The sequence below is a fragment of the Homo sapiens genome, chromosome 7 (genome assembly GCF_000001405.40).
Source record: "Homo sapiens chromosome 7, GRCh38.p14 Primary Assembly".
In the NCBI taxonomy this organism is placed as follows: Eukaryota; Metazoa; Chordata; class Mammalia; order Primates; family Hominidae; genus Homo; species Homo sapiens.
The window spans coordinates 73,213,377-73,236,727 of NC_000007.14; the positions used below are offsets into that span (position 1 = coordinate 73,213,377).

At 53.5% G+C, this 23,351-nt stretch overlaps 1 pseudogene across 1 annotated transcript, besides 6 other annotated features; it reads left to right on the forward strand.

Annotated features, from left to right (window-relative positions):
• Window positions 1-23,351: part of a biological region, named in NCBI's record as "Williams-Beuren syndrome centromeric block B recombination region", that runs on past both edges of the window. NCBI's record gives its function as "recombination_partner: LOC106029312".
• Window positions 1-23,351: part of a non allelic homologous recombination region, noted in NCBI's record as "sub-region SSN3-SSN6, recombines with sub-region SSN3'-SSN6' within the WBS medial block B recombination region", that runs on past both edges of the window. NCBI's record gives the evidence for it as "EXISTENCE:restriction fragment detection evidence [ECO:0001124][PMID:12796854]".
• Window positions 2,697-3,196: an enhancer, noted in NCBI's record as "H3K27ac hESC enhancer chr7:74591815-74592314 (GRCh37/hg19 assembly coordinates)". NCBI's record gives its function as "activates a minimal SCP1, AML or CMV promoter by ChIP-STARR-seq in primed H9 embryonic stem cells {active_cell/tissue: H9 hESC(primed)}" and the evidence as "EXISTENCE:reporter gene assay evidence [ECO:0000049][PMID:30033119]".
• Window positions 3,197-3,698: an enhancer, noted in NCBI's record as "H3K27ac hESC enhancer chr7:74591313-74591814 (GRCh37/hg19 assembly coordinates)". NCBI's record gives its function as "activates a minimal SCP1, AML or CMV promoter by ChIP-STARR-seq in primed H9 embryonic stem cells {active_cell/tissue: H9 hESC(primed)}" and the evidence as "EXISTENCE:reporter gene assay evidence [ECO:0000049][PMID:30033119]".
• Window positions 4,989-5,490: an enhancer, noted in NCBI's record as "H3K4me1 hESC enhancer chr7:72632401-72632902 (GRCh37/hg19 assembly coordinates)". NCBI's record gives its function as "activates a minimal SCP1, AML or CMV promoter by ChIP-STARR-seq in naive H9 embryonic stem cells {active_cell/tissue: H9 hESC(naive)}" and the evidence as "EXISTENCE:reporter gene assay evidence [ECO:0000049][PMID:30033119]".
• Window positions 7,263-22,569, forward strand: NCF1B (neutrophil cytosolic factor 1B (pseudogene); annotated as a pseudogene). The gene is made up of 8 exons (NR_003186.1): window positions 7,263-7,341; window positions 10,502-10,580; window positions 14,033-14,088; window positions 16,191-16,884; window positions 18,435-18,514; window positions 21,238-21,342; window positions 21,813-21,958; window positions 22,293-22,569. The product of NR_003186.1 is annotated as a neutrophil cytosolic factor 1B (pseudogene) (transcript).
• Window positions 22,046-22,095: a silencer, noted in NCBI's record as "silent region_18245". NCBI's record gives its function as "represses an Ori minimal core promoter by ATAC-STARR-seq in GM12878 lymphoblastoid cells {active_cell/tissue: GM12878}" and the evidence as "EXISTENCE:reporter gene assay evidence [ECO:0000049][PMID:35858748]".

Below are 23,351 nucleotides of genomic sequence, written 5' to 3' on the forward strand. Positions count from 1 at the left end.
TTCCAGGCCACCCACACAGCTGCACCACACCCAGACAAGCTCTCCAAGGGACATCATGAGACTGCTCCACTGTCAGAGCCCCGGGCCGGTGGTCCCAGCAACTTGGGGTGCCTGCTGTCCTTCATGTGACATTTTCTTCATTCAAAGCTCAATTTAAACAGCAAGAAGCCTCCCTGCCTCCTACCTGGCAATTTCCCTGCCCCGCACCTTGGAGGCAGCCCCTGCGCAGTTTGCATCTGGTGATGGCCAACGTTTGCCACCCTAGTACTTGACCCTATTTAATCCTCACGGCAGCCCATGAAGTGGGTACAGTGGTCAGTGCCATTTCACAGATGAAAAGACAGAGGCTCAGGGAGCTTCAGCCACGTGCACAGCTCAGCCGTCAGCCTGCACGTCTCCCCACGGGGCCTGGGTCTCCGTCTGACTCCCCTGAGTTGAATGCCTGGGGCCTGGAGCCCATTCTCTTGTGTCCCTAGGCCAAGGGCTGGAGATCAGGTCTAGGGGAGAAGGGAATTCCCAGGGGTGTGGTTCAGGTGTGTCCTGGGACAGTCTCCCAAGGGCAGGTCCCTGATTCCCCTCTGCCGAGGCCTCAGGGTCCACCCCTGCCAAGCAGAGCCCAGCGCAGGTGATTTGGCTGATAAAGGAAGATGGGTCTCTGGGGAGGCAGCGAGTGGCCCACTTTCTTCTTTGCTTTTTTTTTTTGAGATGGAGTCTCACTCACTCTGTCTCCCAGGCTGGAATGCAGTGGCACGATCTCGGGTCACTGCAACCTCCGCCTCCCGGGTTCAAGAGAGTCTCCTGCCTCGGCCTCCTGAGTAGCTGGGATTACAAGCACCTGCCACCATGCCCAGCTAATTTTTGTATTTTTTGTAGAGATGGGGTTCACCATGTTGGCCAAGGCTGGAGTGGCCAGCGTTTCTGCCTATTGACACCTGCCTGCCAATACAGGGTCGGTCACACAGAGCCAGCGTCATAGGTACCTTGGGGCCCATCCTGCTGCCCTAGGCAGGAGGGAGAGCTGGTCCTGTGGGCTGGCCCAGGAGACGGTCACCCAGGGCTGTCCAAGGGGATGGATCCTGGCTGTCACTCGCTCAAGAAGAGGCAGCAGGAGAGGCTTAGGTTAGATCTGGGAAAGAACTGTCCCACCCAAAGGCTGATTTGCTCCAGTCCTGGGAACTGCTAGATTCCCTCTCCTGATAAAATGTCCCAGAGGGCACTGCGTGGGTCCCATGCCCTGATGCCAAGTCGCCTTTCTCCTGATATGGTACCCACTGGCCTGGCCTTGGGGATTTCCTGGTTAAAGAAATAGCGAGCTCAGCCCATCTGGGGAAAGCCAAGTGGCCTGAGGGCGGAGAAGGTGACATTTGGAAAAAGGCCAGGACTGGCAGCTCAGACCTGGAAGCCCCCACTCCCTGCCAGCCTGGCTTGAGGTGAGAGCCTTCCTCATGAGCCCCCTACCCCCACTCATTCATTCATTCATTCATTCACATTGTTCAAGGGCAAGGCATGAGAGTGCAACAGTTAAATCATGGGCCTGGGTCCAGACTGCCCAAGTTCAATCGCGGTTCTAGCCTGGCGCGATGGCTCATGCCTGTAATCCCAGCACTTTGGGAGGCCGAGGCAGGCAGATCACTTGAGGTCAGGAGTTCGAGACCAGCTTGGGCAACATGGTGAAACCCCATCTCTACAAAAAATACAAAAATTAGCCGGGCGTGGTGGCACGAGCCTGTAATCCCAGCTACTCGGGAGGCTGGCACAGAATTTCTTGAACCAGGGAGGCGGAGGTTACAGTGAGGCAGGATTGCGCCACTGCACTCCAGCCTGGGTGACACAGCAAGACTCTGTCTCAAAACAAAAACAAAACAAATCCCAGTTCTGCATATACCAGCTGTGGCAATCTGTTTTCCTCTCTGTTTTCCCATCTGTGAAGTGGGGAAAATTGTACCCACTCCCTGACAGCCTCCTTGTGAGGAGAAGATACGGTCATAAATAGAAAGCACCTAGAATAGTGCCTGACGTAGGGCAGGGCGGCGGGGTGCGGGGGGCCCTTCCTATTAGCACTCGGGACGTGGGGGAATTCTTGGGGCCCTGGTATTGTTCTAACACCCAGTGATGGTTCACCAGCTGTCTCCTTTATAATAATTAGGTAAGAGATGTGGTTTTCTACATATTTCACAATACAAACATTTTTAGAAATTCTATTTCCTTCCCCTGAAAAAACTCTCTTATCTCTTTATTACTTCCTTCCTTAACTTTATTTTATTTTATTTTATTTATTTATTTTTTGAAACCAAGTCTACTCTGTTACCCAGCCTGGAGTGCAGTGGTGTGATCTCGGCTCACTGCAACCTCTGCCTCCCAGGTTCAAGCGATTCTTCTGCCTCAGCCTCCCAAGTAGCTGGGATTATAGGCTTGCAATGCCATGCCTGGCTAATTTTTTTATTTTTAGTAGAGACCCGGTTTCACCGTGTTGGCCAAGCTGGTCCCGAACTCCTGACCTCAGATGACCCACCCACCTTGGCCTCCCAAAGTGCTGGAATTACAGGCATGAGCCACTGCACCTATCTTTTTTTTTTTAATTAAAAAAATTATTTGGTACCTTGTTTCATCCATGCATTAAATTAAATCCTGGCCAGACACAGTGGCTTATGCCTGTAATCCCAGCATTTTGGGAGGCTGAGGTGGGAGGACCACTTGATACTGGAGCTTGAGACCAGGCCGAGCAGCATCTCGAGACCCCGTCTCTACAAAAAAAAAAATAATAATAATAATAATAATAAATAAAAAGTGGAAAAAATCCTATGTCATCCTGAAAAAAGGCTGTAAGCCTGCTTACAGAGGTCATTACAAGGTCAAACTCAAGTTCAGAGCGCTTCCTGCCTCTGCTCATCCAACAAACTTGCTGGATACCTCCTGTCTGCAGAGCACTTTGAGGGAACATAACAGGGTCTTGGGAGGCCACAGGAGGAGAGTTGAAAGATCACAGCCAGGGGCTCAGGGTGTCCACAGGACAAGTACCCTTGGCCAGGCAGTTACGCAAGTGTGGAAAGACCGCTAGAGGAAGGGAAGGAAGTGCCGAGAGCCCACAAAATTCTCTGCTTACAACCAGCCCCACTAGAACCTTCCTCTGCCCTGCCTCGACATGCCCAGGAGAGCACCGCTGCAGGTCTGGCCTCTGTGCTGAGCCTTTTTTTTTTTTTTTTTCCTGAGACAGAATCTCACTCTGCTTCCCAGGCTGGAGTGCAGTGGCAGGATCTCGGCTCACTGCAACCTCCACCTCCCTGGTTCAAGTGATTCTCCTGTCTTACCCTCCGGAGTAGCTGGGATTACAGGTGTGTGCCACCATGCCCAGCTAATTTTTGTATTTTTAGTGGAGACTGGGTTTCACCATGTTGGGCCAGCTGGTCTTGAACTCCTGACCTCAGGTGATCCGCCCACCGTAGCCTCCCAAAGTTCTGGGATTAGAGCTATGAGCCACCATGCCTGGCTACCATGCTGGGCCTTTCGAGGAGGCATTTGACAGGGAAGATGAGAGACAAATTGAGTGTCAGGGAAGGGGTGTTGATAGAAAAATTACAGGAGAGCACACAACTTTCAGCGGGTGAGCCCAGTGCCTGAGCTGCGGGACCACCCTACCAATGACCTTGAACTTATCTGACTGCAGCCTTGAACTCCTGAGCTCAAGGAGTCCTTCTGCCTCAGCCTCCTCCCAAGTAGCTGGGACTACTGGCACATGCCACCATGCCCAGCTAATTATTTTATTTATTTTATTTTATTTTATTTTATTTTATTTTATTTTGAGATGGAGTTTTGTCCTTGTTGCCCAGGCTGGAGTGCAATGGTGCAATCTCAGCTCGCCGCAACTTCTGCCTCCCAGGTTCAAGCGAATTCTCCTGCCTCAGCCTCCTGAGTAGCTGGGATTACAGGCATGTGCCACCACGCCTGGCTAATTTTGTATTTTTAGTAGAGACGGGGTTTCACCATGTTGGCCACGCTGGTCTCGAACCCCTGACCTCAGGTGATCCACCTGCCTCGGCCTCCCAAAGTACTGAGATTACAGGCATGAGCCACCGCACCTGGCCCCACTTGTGGAACTAGCATCTATCTGGAGAGGAGGCAAACATCGCCCACCACCTCCCGCTCTCTCCTGTCACCACTGTCCCCACCATCATTCCAGAGGTCACCCTGGCTTCCAACACCACAGCCTGGCTTGGGCAGTTTTCAAGCCTCGTATAAATGACATCCTCCAGAACATGTGCTCTGTGCCTGCCTTCCTTCCGTCAGTGATGTATCTGGAAGATTCCACTGTGTCGCCCTGTGGGACAGGTCCTTGTCATTGCTGAGTAGATCCTGTTGCAAATGCCTATCTCTCTTCATGGAAAGATCCAAGATACACAGATGGAAATCATCATAGGAAGGGCTGGCAAGGCCGTTCACACCCAGGGCTGGGGACCTCAGGGTGGAGGTGGGGGACAGTAAGGACCAGAAGGAGCAGGTGCCGGCGGGTGATGTGAGCTTTCTTCTCTATAGAGAAGTGAAGGCCGGGTGCAGTGGCTCACTCCTGTAATCCCAGCGCTTTGGGAGGTCGAGGCGGGCAGATCACTTGAGGTCAGGAGTTCGAGACCAGCCTGGGCAATTTGGTGAAACCCCATCACTATAAAAATACAAAAAATTAGCCGGACGTGGTGGTGCACGCCTGTAATCCCAGCTATTTGGGAGGCTGAGGCAGGAGAATTGCTTGTACCCGGAAGGTGAAGGTTGCAGTGAGCCGAGATCATGCCACTGCATACCAGCCTGGGGGACAGAAAGAGACTCTGTCTCAAAAAAAAAAAAAAGAAAAAAAGAAGTGAAGCACTTGCCAAGCAAATCTTTCAGAGCAGGTGGAGTGGACCCTACACCTCTTGGATAATAAATGCACTGGATAATAAAAGCAGGAACAGGCCAGGTGTGGTGGCATGTGCCTGTAGTCCCAACCTACTGGGGAGGCCAAGGCAGGAGGACTGCTTGAGCCCAGGAGTTGGAGGCTGCAGTGAGTTATGACCAGGCAACTGCACTCCAGCCTGGGTGACAGATAGAGACCCTGTCTTTAAAAAAAAAAAAAAAAAAAAAAAAAAGGGCCAGGCACAGTGGCTCATGCCTGTAATCCCAACACTTTGGGAGGCTGAGGCGGGTGGATCTCCTGAGCTCAGGAGTTCAAGACCAGCCTGGCCAACAGGGTGATACCCCTTCTCTACTAAAAATACAAAATTAGCCAGGCGTGGTGGCGCACACCTATAATCCCAGCTACTTGGGAAGCTGAGGCAGGAGAATCGCTTGAACCTGGAAGGCAGAGGTTGCAGTGAGCCGAGATTGTGCCACTGCACTCCAGCCTGGGCAACAAGAGCGAAACTTCGCTTCAAACAAATAAATTAACGCCCAGCATGTCTTGGCTTTCATCTGCCAGACCTCAACCCTCACCCCCAGGAGATCAGGTCCGGACCACGAGCTGACCCTGGACTCAGGCAAGGGTGAGTTGGTGCAGCCCTGGCCTGCTGGGAGGCACAGGCTGCAGCAGGCTGCCTGGGGCTGAGGCCCACCACTCATGAACTCATGACCTTGAATGAGCTCCAAAAGCTCTGGGCCTCCCAGGCTCTAGGGGGAGTGGGAGAGAGAGGCCTCAGCCTGTCCCTGGGCATGCTGCCCCCTCCTCACCTCTTTGTCCCAAATCCCCTTCCTGGCAAAGCTGACAGTCTTAATATCACTCTGGAGAAAACTGAGTCAGCCCTAAGGAACAATTCAATGAACCATTTGCTTACTTGAGGATTGGAACTCAAGTCTCACTCAAAGTCTGTGCCATTTTCGTCCCAGCTGTCACTGGCCCTCATCCACACACACCCAAGGATGAGCATCTAACGCTTGCATGCACACTCCCATGCCCGCGTTCATTCACTCATTCATTCATTCATTCACTCATTCATTGACTCATTCATTCATTCACTCACTCATTCATTCACTCAGTGAATGTTGCAGTCACGATCCAAATATTTATGGCCTCTGTGTGCCAGGCACTAGCTGGAGGGGCTGGGGCTAGAGCCCCTGATAACCCGGTCATGCCCTAGCTTTCCTGGGACACACATTGTGGTAAGGGGAGACTAAAAAAATTAAGTCAGGCCAGGCACGGTGGCTCATGCCTGAATCCCAGCACTTTGGGAGGCCGAGGCGAGTGAATTACCTGAGGTCAGGAGTTCAAGACCAGCCTGGCCAACATGGAGAAACCCAGTCTCTAATTAAAAAAAAAAAAAAAAATTAGCCAGGTGTGGTGGCACATGCCTGTAATCCCAGCTACTCAGGAGACTAACGCAAGAGAATTGCTTGAACCCAGGAGGCAGAGGTTGCGGTGAGCCGAGATCGCGCCATTGCACTCCAGCCTGGGAAACAAGAGCGAGACTCCATCTCAAAAAAAAAAAAAGTGGGAGGCAGAGGCAGGAGGATCACTAGAGGCCAGTAGTTTGAGACCATCCTGGGCAACATAGCAGGACCCTGTCTGTACAAAAAAATTAAAAAAAATTTAACCGGGCATGGTGGCACACACCCGTAGTCCCAGCTACTCCAGAGGCTGAGGCAGGAGGATCGCTGGAGCCCAGGAGTTGGAGGCTGCAGTGAACTGTGATCCCACCACTGCGCTTAAGCCTGGATAACAAAGCAAGACCCTGTCTCAAATAACAATAGCAATAATAATAAAGAAAAATTAAATGCAATTTGCGATGCATCAGTGATAAGTGCTCTGCAGAAAAAGGAGGCAGGAAGAGGCTGAGAAAGGTATGAGGTTTGCTATGCAATGTGAAGTTATCAAGGAAGGCTTCTCGGAAGAGGTGACATTTGAGCAGAGAAATGGAGGAGAGTTATGGAGGGAAGATGGTGAATGGGGGGAACATGGTCAAGACCAGGAATATGGTCAAGGGGGGAAAGATGGTCAAGGGGACGCAGCAAATGCAAAGGCCCTGAGGCAGGAGCAGCTTGATTCACCCCCAAAACCCGTGGGGCCCGTGCAGGCGACGGGAAGGACAAGTGTAAACCCTTTTCCTTGTCCCTGCAGGTGTGTGTGAACATGAGTCTGCCCATGTTTACACCCTGCAAGCCTGAAGAGTCCCCAGAAACTGAAAGAAGAAGCAAAGCCCTTTCTGTACCCTCCCTGCCCCCTGTCCCGACCGCGACAAAAGCGACTTCCTCTTTCCAGTGCATTTAAGGCGCAGCCTGGAAGTGCCAGGGAGCACTGGAGGCCACCCAGTCATGGGGGACACCTTCATCCGTCACATCGCCCTGCTGGGCTTTGAGAAGCGCTTCGTACCCAGCCAGCACTATGTGAGTAGCTGGTGGAGGGCATCCCGTGGGGGGAATACGGGAGGGACAGCACGGCCACCCTTGCAGTCCCAGGGCCAACCAGCTCCAGTGAGGACTAACGGGGCAGGGTCTTGGGCACCTGGTCCCTGGTCTTTGAGCCTGGATCTACCCCTCTGATCCCTGGGAAGACAGTTCCCTTGGACCCGCCCTGGGCCCCAGCCCTTTACTGTCCCCGCCTGTGTCCCCAGCCAGGCCCTCAGCCTTAGCCAGGAGTCCTCTTTCTGCTCCCCTGCCATGGCCAGGCAGCCCAGCGCTCTCTCAGGTCCGAGGCCCACTCCTCCAGGAAGCCTTCCCTGACTAGCCCAGCTATCAGAGAGTGGCCCTCCCAAGAGGGAGGCCTGGAAACTAAAGCTCTCTCTCTCCCCAGCTGCCTGTAGTGTCAGTTAGAGTCTTATCCTCTCCAGTAGGGTGACACCATGACAGGGGCCAATAGAGTCCTCCCATCTGTCCCCAAGGAGGCTGGACAAATGCCTGCTCAGACACACAAGTCCACTGGGTCCCCTAATCCCATAGGAAGGCCAGGGAGGAACTACATTTAGGAAATTGAAGCTTGTATGGAACATTTAGTCCTATGTGCCAAGACCTTTCTCTTTTTTGTTATTTTTTTGTTTTTTGAGACAGAGTCTTGATCTGTTGCCCAGGCCAGAGTGCAGTGGCACGATCTCAGCTCACTGCAACCTCCGCCTTCCAGGTTCAACTGGTTCTCCTGCCTCAGCCTCCAGAGTAGTTGGGATTACAGGTGCCCACCACCACGCCTGGCTAATTTTTGTATTTTTAGTAGAGACAGGGTTTCACCATGTTGGCCAGACTGGTCTCAAACTCCTGACCTCAAGTGATCCACCCACCTGGGCCTCCCAAAGTGCTGGGATTACAGGCATGAGCCACCGTGCCTGGCCTGTTTTTTTGAAATGAGGTCTGGAGTGCAGTGGTGCGATCATAGTTCACTGCAGCCTCGACCTCCCAGGCCCAAGTGATCCTCCTGCCTCAGCCCCTTGAGTAGCTGGGGCTACAGGCGCACACCACCATGCCTGGCTAGTTTTTAAAATTTTTGTGGAGATGAGGTTTCACTATGTTGTCCAGGCTAATCTTGAACTCCTCGGCTTAAGCAACCCTCTGGTCTCAGCCTCCCACAGTGCTAGGATTACAAGCGTGAGCTACCGTGCCTAGTCACTTTTCTCCTTTTCTTTGTAACTTTCAGTTTTGAAATTTCAAATTTACAGAAAGGCTACTGGGTGTCAAAACGGTACCAGTCACTCCAATAGTCTTTCACTCACCTTCATCCACACCTCTCTTTCTGGGGATATTTTCTGAATTATTTGAGAGTGAGTTGAAGACGTGTTTCTTTACCTCTAAATACTAGTTGTTGGGCATTTCTTAAAATCAAGGCATTCTCTTACATAATCACAACACACGTGTCAAAATCAGGAAATTAACATGGACAAAACACCATTATCCACCCACAGACTTTACTGAGGTTTCCCCGATTATCCTGCTTGTCCTCTGCAGTGAAAACTTTTTTCAGGTCTAGGATCCAGTCAAGGATCAATGTCATAGCCTTTAACCTTCTTTAATCTGGATCAGTCTTTTTTCTTTTTCTTTTTCTTTTTTTGGACACGGAATCTCACTCTGTCACCAGACTGGAGTGCAGTGGTGCAATCTCGGCTCATTGCAACCTCTGCCTCCTGGGTTCAAGAGATTCTCCTGCCTCAGCCTCCTGAGTAGCTGGGAATACAGGTGCGCGCCACCACGCCCAGCTCGTTTTTGGTAGAGACAGGGTTTTGCCATTGATTCTGGATCAGTCTTTTTTTTTTTTTTTTATGAGATGGAGTCTTACTCTGTCACCCAGACTGGAGTGCAATGGCACAATCTCCACTCACTGCATCCTCCGCCTCCCAGGTTCAAGCAATTCTCGTGCCTCAGCCTCCCGAGTAGCTGGGATTACAGGCATGCGCCACCATGCCCGGCTACTTTTTGTATTTTTAGTAGAGACAGGGTTTCACCATGTTAGCCAGGCTGATCTCGAACTCCTGACGTCAGGTGATCTGCCCGCCTCGACCTCCCAAAGTGCTGGGATTACAGGCGTGAGCCACCGTGCCAGCGGATTCTGGATCGGTCTTAATCAGTCTTTGTCTTTTGCAACTTTGATGTTTTGCAGAGAGCAGACCAGTTACCTTGTAGAATGTCCCTTAGTTTGGGTTTATCTTCATTAGATTCAGTTTGTGTATCCAGGGCAGTGGATCTTAGATGCAATTCTGTCTTCTTTTTAATTTTTTTGAGAGGGAGTCTCGCTCTGTCACCCAGGCTGGAGTGCAGTGGCACAACCTCAGCTCACTGCAGCCTCCGCCTCCCGGGTTCAAGCAATTCTCCTGTCCCAGCCTCCCAAGTAGCTGGGATCACAGGTGCCCATCACCACTACCGGGTAATTTTTGTGTTTTTAGTAGAGACAGGGTTTCACCATATTGGTCAGGCTGGTCTTGAACGCCTGACCTCAGGTGATCCACCTGCCTTGGCCTCCCAAAGTGCTGGGATTACAGACGGGAGCCAACATGCCCAGCCTTCCTGCCCCTCCCGTCCCCTCCCCTCTCCTCCTGTCCCCTCCCTTCCCCTCCCCTCCCCACCCAAGCTGGAGTGCAGTGGTGCAATCATAGCTCACTAAAGCCTTGACCTCCAAGTCTCAAGCAATTCTCCTGCCTCACCTGGGGCCACAGGTGTGCGGCACCACACCCGGACAATTTTTGTGTTTTTAGTAGATATGGGGGTCTCGCTATGTTGCCCAGGCTGGTCTCAAACTCTTGGACTCAAGCGATCTTCCCACCTCGGTACTAAAAAGTGCTGGGATTCCAGGTGTGAGCCACCGTGCCCAGCCTAGGTCCTACTTTTATCTCCAATTTACAGATGAGTCCATTTGAGAGAAGCTGACCCTCTTGCCCTGGGTCTCAAGGCTGGGGCGTGGCAGCACTTGGGTCCACGTTTGTGCCCTTTCTGCAATCCAGGACAACTGCAAAGATGGTCCTCACCCCAATCCTCTGGGCTTCCTCCAGTGGGTAGTGGGATCCTGGGTGCACACAGCAAAGCCTCTTTGGAGGCTGAATGGGGTCCCCCGACTCTGGCTTTCCCCCAGGTACATGTTCCTGGTGAAATGGCAGGACCTGTCGGAGAAGGTGGTCTACCGGCGCTTCACCGAGATCTACGAGTTCCATGTGAGTGTGGGGACGGAGGAGGGACAGGGACCCACCGTTCCAGCTCCACCCTTTGGGAAGGACCTTAGCCCAGGTGATGGGGAAACTGCAGAACCCAGAATCCCCTCCCAGACCACAGTTAAAGGGGATTTATTTATTTATATAAATTTTTGTGACAGGGTCTTGCTCTGTCACCCAGGGTCTTGCTCTGTCACCACTCTGAACACCTCATGTTCTCTGATTACAGGCATGAGCCCCCACGGTCGGCCTTTTAGGTGGTTTTGAGAGGTATTTAGGTTTGCAGTGCAGGGGCGCAATCATAGCTCACTGCAGCCTCAACCTCTGGGGCTCAAGCGATCCTCCTGCCTCAGCCTCCTGAGTAGCTGGGACTATAGGTGCGCATCACCATGTGTGGCTAATTTTTGTATTTTTTATAAAGATGGGGATCTCACTATGTTGCCCAGGCTGGTCTTGAACTCCAGACCTCAAGTGATCCTCCTGCCTTGGCCTCCCAAAGCTAAGGGGGCATTAAAAGAAAAAAACATTTTTCCCCCTGAAACATTTAAGTAGTCTTACTGAAAACAATAAAACACAGAAACACCAGATTCTCATTTTAAAGTAAAACAGACAGGATCTCCCAGAACCTTCCTAGAATGGAACCATTCTTGTCGCTTTTGAAAAACAAAGCCAAGTTCTAGATCCCAAATAAATGCACCTGCTGGTGAACATTCTCCTTGTGGTTCTCGTCCCTATGTTAGTTATTTTCCTAAATTTTACATTTGTACCTTTTTAAGAATGAGTTATCAGTTTTTTTATATTTGCTTTTCTTTTGAGATGGGGTCTTGCTCTGTCACCCAGGCTGGGGTGCAGTGGTGCAATCACGGCTCACTGCAGCCTCAACCTCCAGGGCTGAAGCGATTCTCCCATCTCAGCCTCCCATGTTGAGATCACAGGTGTGCACCACCACACCTGGCTCCTTTTCCTGATTTGTTTTTTGTAGAGATGGGATTTCGCTATGTTGCCCAGGCTGGTCTCTAACTCCTGGACTCAAGTGATCCTCCCGCCTCAGCTTCCCAAATTGCTAGGATTACAGGTTTGAGCCCCTGCACCTGGTCAACCTGAGTTTTAAGAGGATCCCTTTGGCGACTGGATTGAGGACAGACAAGAGTGGACGGGGGACACAAGGAGGCCATTTTCGTTATCCAGGCCTGGTAGTGGCTAGGGCCAGGAGGGTGGGGTTGGTGGGAAGCAGTCAGATCCCAAAGAGATTTGGGGATTGGAAGCAAAAGGATTTGCTGGTGACTTGCACATGGGAGGGAGAGAGGTCAGTGCCTCTGTTAATCAAGGAATCCAGATTGCCACCGAAATTTCTAGGCCCGAGATATTTAGGTAGTGTCTCACTCTGTCACCCAGGATGGAGTGCAGTGGCGCCATCTCGGCTCACTGTAACCTCCGCCTCCCAGGTTTAAACGATTCTCCCACCTCAGCCTCCTGAGTAGCTGGGATTACAGGCATGTGCCACCACTCCCGGCTAATTTTTGTATTTTTAGTAGAGACGGGGTTTCACCACGTTGGCCAGGCTGGTCTTGAACTCCTGACCTCAAGTGATCCACCCACGACAGCCTCCCAAAGTGCTGGGATTACAGGCGTGAGCCACCATGCTCGGCCTTTTAGGTGGTTTTGAGAGGTATTTAGGTCACTTCCAATCTCGTGCTTTTCCAAGTGTTGTAAACTACAAATATTCCTTCACGTCTTCTTGTCTTTTTAATGTTTAGAAAACCTTAAAAGAAATGTTCCCTATTGAGGCAGGGGCGATCAATCCAGAGAACAGGATCATCCCCCACCTCCCAGGTGAGCACGGGGCTGAGCCGCCTGTCAGGGGGTCATTGGCGGGGGCTCACCTGCCCTCCCAGCACCTCTCGGGCTTGACCTCATGTTCTCTGGTGCCAGCTCCCAAGTGGTTTGACGGGCAGCGGGCCGCCGAGAACCACCAGGGCACACTTACCGAGTACTGCGGCACGCTCATGAGCCTGCCCACCAAGATCTCCCGCTGTCCCCACCTCCTTGACTTCTTCAAGGTGCGCCCTGATGACCTCAAGCTCCCCACGGACAACCAGTGAGTGAACTTTTCACCCTGCCAGGTGGGAGAGGGAAGGAGGGGTGGGACTTTCTGTGTTTTGCAGATGAGGAAACCAAGGCTCAGAGAGGGAAAGCCACCTTCCCAGAGCCACACAGCCAGAAAGAGGAGGCAAATTCCACCTCCGGCCCCTGTGACCCCGCCAAGCCTCCACCTTAATCTTTCACACCTCAGGGCACTGGGGGAAGCACTCGGGGCTGGAGGTTCAAAGTCCTGGGTCCTCATCCTGACATTATGGCCACCTGGCTATGGGACCTGGAGCCAGTCACCACTGCTCTCTGAATGCAGGTTCTCCATTTCTATAATGGGCAGTGAGGATCAGATGAAGCATTGGGTGTCTTGCGGAGCCCCCCAGAAGGATGTGGGGTTGATGCCTCTGCTAAGTGCTGAGCATGTCTGGGGTCTCCTGTACCCAGGACCCTGTGTGGAAGGCACCTGAGAGGCTGAGGGAGCTCCAGGCAGGCTGGGGAAGTCCCCTTCTCCACTCCTCTCTGGTCACTGAAGCTCGAAGTGGGGAGCATGAGGACAGGACGTTACCCCTTGTCAAGGCACCCAGGCTGCCAAGACAGAGACAAGCAGCATTGCTCCGGCCAGCACTTATTGACGCTTGAAGGTGTCCCCTGGCCCAAGGAAGGGCAGTTATCATCAGCCCGGGAGGCGGGGGAAGGATGGACTCTGCAGTGGGGTCCGCTCCTCATTGCCTGCTCTCTCAGGGCTCCAGAAGGAGGAAGAGGCCGGGCACAGTGGCTCACACCTATAATCCCAGCACTTTGGAAGGTCGAGGTGGGCAGATCACCTGAAGTTGGGAGTTTGAGACCAGCCTGGCCAACATGGTGAAACCCCATCTCTACCAAAAATATAAAAATTTAGTCAGGCATGGTGGTGTGCGCTTGTAATCCCAGCTACTTGGGAGGCCGAGGCAGGAGAATCGCTTGAACCCGGGAGGCAGAGGTTGCAGTGAGCTGAGACTGCGCCACTGCACTCCAGCCTGGGTGACAGAGCGAGACTCTGTCTAAGAAAAAAAAAAGAAAAGAAGAAAGAAGATGGCCTGGGAGCCCGCAAGAGCATTTTCCAGGCTTAGGGCATCCTTTGGGTCTGCAGAAGGCTATGCAGTGTCCTCCTCATGTCCCTCCCTTGGGCTGCCCGAGCAGATCCGCCCGCCCCCATCACTTCCTGAAGCCCTTCCTCAGCCAGTCCAGTTGCTGTCTTCTCTCCGCAGTGCCCCTTCCCTTTCCCGGGTCCCTCTTCTCTTGGGAAGTTCTTCTGCAGGTCTACCCAGTGCCTCTTCTTCCTCCATGGGAAGCCAAGGGTCTCACCCAGACTGTTCTCTCCTCAGGACAAAAAAGCCAGAGACATACTTGATGCCCAAAGATGGCAAGAGTACCGCGACAGGTGAGAGGACGGGGGGCAGCCGGCGGGGGGGGACACCCTGAGGAGACCCAGAGTGTTCAGGGAATGGAGCAGGGGCTGGGAGCAGGCTGGGAGGGCTCACAGCTACCCTGCTGAAGAATTGGGTCTTTGGGCCGGGTGCGGTTGCTCATGCCTGTAATCCCAGCAGTTTGGGAGGCCGAGGCAGGTGGATCACTTGAGGTCAGGAGTTTGAGACCAGCCTGGCCAACATGGAGAAACCCTGTCTCTACTAAAAATCCAAATTAGCCAGGCGTGGTGACAGGTGCCTGTAGTCCCAGCCACTTGGGAGGCTGAGGCAGGAGAATTGCTTGAACCCGGAAGACGGAGTTTGCAGTGAGCCGAGATCGTGCCACTGCACTCCAGCCTGGGCAGCAGAGCCAGACTCCATCTCAAAAAAAAAAAAAAAAAAGAAGAATTGGGTCTTTGGAAGGTCCCTGGAGACTGAAAGGAGCCCTTTGCAGGTGGCAGTGCAGAGACCAGCGCAGACCCTTGCTACTGGCAGCCGGGGGAGTGTTTGCGGCTGAATGAATGAACAGGTTTTGGAGGGCAGCGTGGCCTTCAGAGGCGATGCAGGGCTGTGGCAGTTTCTAATACTTATTGCACAGTCACTGCTAATAACAATAATAATAATAATACCTAACATTAATGGAGTGCTTACTCTGTGCCAGCCACTATTTTGTTTTTGTTGTTTTCAGTGACAGGGTCTCGCTCTGTTGCCCAGGCCAGAGTGAAGTGGTGTGATCATAGCTCACTACAGCCTCGACCTCCTGGGCTGAAGCGATCCTCCCACCTCAGCCTCCCAAGTAGCTGGGATTACAGGTGTGTGCCACCATGTCCAGCTAATTTTTAATTTTCTGATAGAGATGGGGTCTCACTACATTGCCCAGGCTGGTCTTAAGCTCTTGGCCTCAAGCAACCCTCCTGCCTCAGCCTCCCAAAGTGCTGAGATTATAGACATGAGCCACTGTGCCCGGCTTTTTCTTCTTCTTATAAGGACATGAGGCCTGTTGGGTTAGGGCCCACTCTACTGACCTCATTTTAACTTAATTACCTCTTGAAACGTACTTAAGAGTACCTTTCTCTTAATATACCCACGCTGTAAGGTACTGGGTGGTTAGGACTTCAACATATGAATTTTGAGAAGGCAGATGTCAGCCAATACCAAACAGCATCAGCACCTCCACGGTTGGATGAAGGGCTGGTCAGAAATGCACACTCAGGTCCCACAGTGGACCTACTGAACAGGATAGGCATTTTAGCAAAATCCCAGGTATTCGGGTGCACCTTAAAGTTAGGAAAAGGTCAGGCACTGTGGCTCATGCCTGTAATCCCAGCACTTTGGGAGGCCGAGGCGGTTGAATCACCTGAGGTCAGGAGTTCGAGACCAGCCTGACCAATATCGTGAAACTCCATCTCTACTAAAAATACAAAAATTAGCCAGGTGTGGTGGCAGGTGCTTGTAGTCCCAGCTACTTGGGAGGCTGAGGCAGGTGAATTACTTGAACCTGGGAGGTGGAGGTTGCAATGAGCCAAGATTGCACCACTGCACTCCAGTGACAGAGCGAGACTCCATCTCAAAAAAAAAAAAAAAAAAAAGTTGGGAAAAGGCCAGGTGCAGTGGCTCCACGCCTGTAATCCCAACACTTTAAGAGGCTGAGGTGGGAGAATCCTTTGAGCCCAGGAGTTCGAGACCAGCCTGGGCATTGTCCCAAGACCTTGTCTTTACAAAAAATTAGCCGGGTGTGGTGGCATACGTCTGTGGTCCCAGCTATTCGGGAGGCTGAGGCAGGGAGATTGCTTGAGCCTAGGAGTCTAGGGCTGTAGTGAGCTGTGATCACGTCACTGTACTCTAGCCTGGGCAACAGAGCAAGACTCTGTCTCCAAAAAAGAAAATAAAGTTGGGAAAGGCTCACTAACTTCATCAGATGAGAACAAAGACATGTTTGAAGTGTGAGGCCGAAGCCTGGAGAACGCTATGCGCCCAGGAAATGCAGGGCAGCAGAGACTCAAGATGCCAGCGCCTGTTCTGGAGGCCCAGATGGGCCCTGCAATGCCCACTCACCCTGCCCTCCCTCTTGCCCCAGACATCACCGGCCCCATCATCCTGCAGACGTACCGCGCCATTGCCAACTACGAGAAGACCTCGGGCTCCGAGATGGCTCTGTCCACGGGGGACGTGGTGGAGGTCGTGGAGAAGAGCGAGAGCGGTCAGACCTCCCACCTTACGGGGCTCCTTCCCCTGGTGCTCAGGAACCCACAGCCACAAGCCCCCTGCCAAGGCTCAGGCAGCCTGGCCCCTGGGAGGACTCCGGCTCTGTTAGGGGCCCTAAATGTCCTCCCCACACTGTGGGTCGCCTTCTCTCTTAGTGTGCACCCTGTGGTGGCTGTGGGCATCTGTGCATGGCAGGCCGGGGCGGGGCATGTCTGCGTGTTCTGTCTGGATGGGTATGGGACCGTCTGTTCATTATGAAGTGGGCTCAGAGCTGTGATTCTGTGAGCATGTGTGCATGCATGCATGTGACCTCATTGTCCAGTGTGGTGAAGGTGACATTTCCAAATCTGAGCATTGGACATCAGTGTGTCTGTGTCCCTGTGTCCTCACCATCCCTGATGGCTGCAGGGAGCCGCTGGGCCCTGCCCCTCAGTCACATTCCCGCACCTCTGGCACAGGTTGGTGGTTCTGTCAGATGAAAGCAAAGCGAGGCTGGATCCCAGCATCCTTCCTCGAGCCCCTGGACAGTCCTGACGAGACGGAAGACCCTGAGCCCAACTATGCAGGTGCCCCCTGCCCTCCGAGGCTGTAGGGGTGTGGGAGAAAGGGGCAGGCAGGGCTCAGGGATATTGAGTGACTGCTTTGGAGTCTGGGCTGGTTGCTGGCTTGGCAGAAAAGTCAGGGCTAAGATCTCATCGTCTCTGGCTTGGGGGCCCTGGCAGGTTGTGATGCCCTTGGTCTGGACAGGGAACCAGGAGGAGGAGCAGACGACTCGGGAGAGTGGGAGGCCAGTGGTGTCTGTGGATATGTGGCCAGGTTCAGTGGGAAGCTGAAGGATGAGCAGACCTTAGGCTCAGGAAGGAGGGCTGCCTGGAAGTGGGGGCATCATCACTGACCAGAAAGGGAAAACTGGCAGTGCCAGGGCTGGATGGGGCCTGCATTGAGCTTGAAAAAAACTATAATAGAATTGGTTACCATTTTATTTTATTATTTATTTATTTATTTTACTTTTTTGAGATAGAGTCTCACTCCCTTGCTAAGGCTGGAGTGCGGTGGTGCTATCTCAGCTCACTGCAACCTCTGCCTCCCAGGATCAAGTGATTCTCCAGCCTCAGCCTCCCCAGGTAGCTGGGATTACAAGCATGCACCACCATGCCTGGATAATTTTTGTATTTTTAGTTGAGACGGGGTTTCACCAGGTTGGCCAGACTGGTCTCGAACTTCTGACCTCAGGTGATCTGCCTGCCTTGGCCTCCCAAAGTGCTGGAATTACAGATGTGAGCCACTGTCCCTGGCCTGGTTACCCACATTTTAAAATGGAGTGATTTCACCCTTTTATGTGGATTTACAGCTTTTTTTTTTTTTTTTTGAGACAAAGTCTGGCTCTGTCACCCAGGCTGGAGTGCAGTAATGCAATCTCAGCTCACTGCAACCTTAGCCTCCTGGGTTCAAGCAATTCTCCTGCCTCAGCCACCTGAGTAGCTGGGATTACAGGCATGCACCACCACGCCAGGCTAATTTTTTGTATTTTTAGTAGAGATGGGGTTTCGCCATGTTGGCCAGGCTGGTCTCGAACTCCTGACCTCAGGTGATCCGCCCGCCTTGGCCTCCCAAAGTGCTAGGATTACAGGTGGGAACCACCTCGCCCAGCCTGTGGCTATCGTTTAAACACTGGGAAGGCCTGCAGCCCCCAGGCCGACAGTTAGCTGCAGCTGAGCAGTTCCCAGTGCCAGGTAGACGGATGCTCCACCCACCTACTCATGGCTGATCTCTTGTCATAGTGAAGTGTCTGGACAGACCTTCATCGTTATGGGATCTCTGGTCCCCAGAGTGGGTGGCAATGAATGGGAGTGGACAAGCTCACCTGGGTGTAGGGGGCAGAGGGCCGAAGTCCAGAGTGTACCCCCAGAGTGGGTGCCAGCAGGAGCTTGCCGAGGGATCTGGGATGGAGCAGGAGGGTGGAGGGAGGAGACCCAGAAGAGGGGGAACTGTGGGCCCTGGGTGGGTCTGGAGTGCCTGGAGGAAGCCCAGGCGCAGAGAGGAGAAGATGGGATGGGTGGCGAGCCCCAGGCTGGGCCGACCTCACACTGTGCTCTGTGCCCCTGCCGTGGACCAGGTGAGCCATACGTCGCCATCAAGGCCTACACTGCTGTGGAGGGGGACGAGGTGTCCCTGCTCGAGGGTGAAGCTGTTGAGGTAATTCACAAGCTCCTGGACGGCTGGTGGGTCATCAGGTAGGAGGGCCCCTCTCCATCCAGAGCACCCATCTGAGTCAGCCCCAGCCAGGACGGGGTGTTTAGGGATCTGGGGTGACTTGTCCCTGGGACTCTGGGTAAGCCACTGCCCCTCTCTGGGCTTAGTTTCCATCTCAGTAGCAGGGAGGGATGAGCCCACCCTTGCCTGTCTTGTGGGGATCCAATGTCCTTGTCCAAGTGGGTGCATTTCTCCTTTGTGATTTAGGGTCTCTTCCCAACCATCTATTATTATTCCTTCTCTGGCAACATGGTGAACTGTTGTATAAATAATTACATTCCTAGCTAGGCGCAATGGCCCAGGCCTGTAATCCCAGCACTTTGGGAGCCCAGGGCAGGACGATCACGTGAGGTCAGGAGTTCGAGACCACCCTGGCCAACATGGCAAAACCCTATCTCTACTAAAAACACAAACATGAGCCGGGTGTTGTGGTGGGAGCCTGTAATCCCAGCTACTCGGGAGTCTGAGACAAGAGAATCGCTTCAACCCGGGAGGCGGAGGTTACAGTGAGCCAAGATCGCGCCATTGCACTCCAGCCTGGGCAACGAGAGCGAAACTCCGTCTCAAAAAAAAAAAAAAAAAAAAGATTACTTTCTTTTTATCATTCCTTTATCTTTTAAAGCTTTCTTGCAGTCAGGTGCAGTGTCTCATGCCTGTAATCCCAACACTTTGGGAAGCTGAGGTGGGAGGATCACTCAAGGCTACAAGTTCAAGACCAACCTGGGCAATGTAGGGAGACCTCTGTCTCTACAAAAAAAATTAAAAAATAGCTGGATGTGGTAGCACACACCTGTAGCCCCAGCTACTCAGGAGGCTGAGGTGAAAGGATCACTTGACCCCAGGAGTTGGAGGCTGCAGTGAGCTATGACTGCACCACTGCACCCCAGCCTGGGTGATGGAGCAAGACCCTGTCTCAAAAAAAAAAAAAAAAAAAAAAAAGCTTCCATTGCAATTCCCATCTGTTTATCCTCCAAATGAATGCAGAAATACTAATTATCTTTTTTCTGGTTCTGGGGAACACAGAATTCTAGCGGCTTGTGGAGCCATTTCCCTGGAGCCATGGGGCCTCCCAGGTCCTTTCCTGTGTCTTCATTTTTTACGAATTTTTTCATTTTTTGAGACAGGATCTTGCTCTGACTCCCAGGCTGGAGCACAATCATCGCTCACTCAAGCGATCCTCCCACCTCAGGCTCCCACGTAGCTGGGACTACAGGTGAGCACCACCACATCTGGCTAATGTTTTTTAATTTTTTTGTAGGGGTGGGGTCTCACTATGGTGCCAAGACTAGTCTTAAACTCCTGGCCTCAAGAGTTCCTCCTGCCTTGGCCACCCAAAGCACTGGGATTACAGGAATGAGCCTCCATGCTGGGCCTTTGCTGGCGTCTTCAGAGCCCTAGGTCACAGGGCCAGCCTGGCGCCCTGCCGCAAGCTTATCTTAAAGCTGGGACCACAACATGCATACCTGCAGCCGGGCCCGGGGCCAGAGGGCTTTGAGGCAGCATTTCTCAGCCTTTTAGACACACACTCTGTTAACCCCCATCCTGTGTCTCTGATAATCTTCTTGTGATCCTCCCACCAGCCAAGAATTGGGTTTTATGTGAACCTTGTATTATGCAAAGTTTTCTTTTGTTTTTTTTTTCACTCCCAAATATAATATTGAGAATAGAAAGAAAGTCTTTTCAACAAATGGTGCTGGAACAGATGGATTTCCATACTGGAAAAAAAAAAAAAGAGCAAAAAACAAACCTAGACCCCTTCCTCACACTGTACACATATGTTTACTTCAGATGGATCACAGGTTTATCCCAGAGTAAAACCTGAAACTAAAAACCATTTGGGGCTGGACAGGGAGCTCACGCCTGTAATCTCAGCACTTTGGGAGGCTGAGGCAGGTGGATCACTTGAGGTCAGGAGTTTGAGACCAGCCATGACCAACATGGTGAAATCCTGTCTCTACTAAAAAAATACAAAATTAACCAAGTGTGGTGGTGCATGCCTGTAATCCCAGCTACTTGGGAAGCTGAGGCAGGAGAATTGCTTGAACTTGGGAAGCAGAGGTTGCAATGAGTCGACATCATGCCATTGCACTCCAGCCTAGGCAACAAGAGCAAAACTCTGTCTTGGGGTTGGGTGGGGGAAAAGCATTTGGAAGAAAGCATAGAATTTGGTGGCTTGGAGGTAGGCAAAGGTTCGTAGGAGACAGAAGGCAGTTAACATAAAAGAAAAATTGGCAAATATAATCTGCCAGTGTCTTCTTTTTTCTTTAATTTTTTCGGGAGGTAGAGATAGGGGTCTTGCTATGTTACCCAGGCTGATCTCCAACTCCTGGCCTCAAGCGATCCTCCCACCTAGATCCCTCAAAGTACTGGGATTACAGGCGTGAGCGACCGTGCCCTGCCCATTCTTGCCAATGTCTTATAGCAAATACCTGTCCCCTGCGGTGACCTGGATCTGCTAACCTCCACCCCTGCCTAGACTGTGGAAGGATTGCTGGAAGGGTCTCAGTTGCACAGACCAGGAAACTGAGGCCCACAGAGGCAGGTGTCCGGTTGTTTGCAACCTCTCAGCCTGTGCTAACCCCAATTGTTCAGAGAGAGCCCTGAAACCCTCTCCTCTGGGCGCCCCCAGGTGACTGCCCCAGCCTCAAGGGCTGCCTCTGTTGCAGGAAAGACGACGTCACAGGCTACTTCCCGTCCATGTACCTGCAAAAGTCAGGGCAAGACGTGTCCCAGGCCCAACGCCAGATCAAGCGGGGGGCGCCGCCCCGCAGGTAAGCGGGGGTCCCCGGGGCTGGGCGGGGTCGAGCGGGGCGCACCACGGGTTCGCTCTGTCTAGGCCATAGCTTGGCAGTGCCGGGGCGGGGGCTCTCAGCCTGGCAGGAGAGGCAGGACCCTCACGGGGGAAAGGGGCTGGACGCGCCTGGCCGCGGTGTGGGGCTGGCACGGGGGCGGAAGGAAAGCGGCGATGCCCGGGGGCTTTGGGGATGGGCAGTCCAGGGGGGCTCCCCGGAGAGGGGGACGACAGACCGAAGGCTGGTGAGGGGCGTGGAAAACCGCCCAGGCTCTGCTGCAGGGCAAGGGTCCTTGTCGTGACGGGGGCAGCCGCCTCTTGTCCCGCCGGGGTCGTGCAGACTACCGGCCCCCTACTGCCCCCCACTTCCTCGGACCAGGGGTGCCCATCTGAGTCCCTGGGGGCAGGGGCGCCCTCGGGCTTTGACGACGCCCCGTCCCGCTGGGCCAGGTCGTCCATCCGCAACGTGCACAGCATCCACCAGCGGTCGCGGAAGCGCCTCAGCCAGGACGCCTATCGCCGCAACAGCGTCCGTTTTCTGCAGCAGCGACGCCGCCAGGCGCGGCCGGGACCGCAGAGCCCCGGGAGCCCGCTCGGTGAGTGCAGCGGGAGAGGGCAGGAAGGGCAAGCCCTAGGGGCGGAGTCAGCGGGAGAGGCGGGGCCAGAGGTAGGGCCAGAGTAGCGGGGCGGGACCAGAGGGCGGAATCAGAGGGAGAGGCGGGGACTGGAGGCGGGGGCAGAGGAGGAGCCAGCGCTAGGGGGCGGAGCGATCCCTAAGAGGCGGAGTCAGAGGGAGAGGCACAAGCGGGAGGCGAGGCCAGAGCGCGGAGCAGGAGTTGGAGACCGCGGCGGGGCGAGGCCAGAGAGCGCTGTGGGCGGGGCCAGTGTGCGGGGCGGGGCGTCTGACTCGGCCCCGCTCTCTGCCCGCAGAGGAGGAGCGGCAGACGCAGCGCTCTAAACCGCAGCCGGCGGTGCCCCCGCGGCCGAGCGCCGACCTCATCCTGAACCGCTGCAGCGAGAGCACCAAGCGGAAGCTGGCGTCTGCCGTCTGAGGCTGGAGCGCAGTCCCCAGCTAGCGTCTCGGCCCTTGCCGCCCCGTGCCTGTATATACGTGTTCTATAGAGCCTGGCGTCTGGACGCCGAGGGCAGCCCCGACCCCTGTCCAGCGCGGCTCCCGCCACCCTCAATAAATGTTGCTTGGAGTGGACCGAGGCTCTGCAGGAATGCAGGGAGGGCCGGGCTCCGCCCCAGGGTTATTTCTAAGTTGAGGACAGGAGGTTGTGAGTTCTGCTGGGGGGAAGTTGCAAGAGCCGAGGTCTGGTTGCATGTTGCCCTGGTCTTGGCCAAGAACAGGTTTGCACAAGGCCAAGTTCAAGAGGAACTCCCGGTTTCCTGCTGACCGTTTGGTCAGAAACCACCTGCTTGGACTCTGGCGGAAGAGTCCTGAAGATGGGTGCACACAGTGCAGCAGGGCAGCCCTGTCTCATGGCAGGAGACAGGCTGCCGTCCAGGGTGTAGGAGTGACCTCATAGCTGGGATAAAAAATATATTATAACTTAGGTTCGGGCGCGGTGGCTCACGCCTGTAACCCAGCGCTTTGGGAGACCGAGGTGGGAGGATCCGTTGAGCTCAGGAGTTCGAGACCAGCCTGGCCAACATGGTGAAACCCCATCTCTACCAAAAATATAAAAATTAGCTGGGCGTGGTGGCATGCATCCATAATCCCAGCTACTGGGGAGGCTGAGGCATGAGAATCGCTTGAACCGGGGAGGCAGATGTTGCAGTGAGCCGAGACGGCGCCACTGGACTCCAGCCTGGACAACATGGTGAAACCCCATCTGTACCAAAAATATAAAAATTAGCTGGGCGTGGTGGCATGCATCCACAATCCCAGCTACTGGGGAGGCTGAGGCATGAGAATCGCTTGAACCGGGGAGGCAGATGTTGCAGTGAGCCGAGACGGCGCCACTGCACTCCAGCCTGGACTAC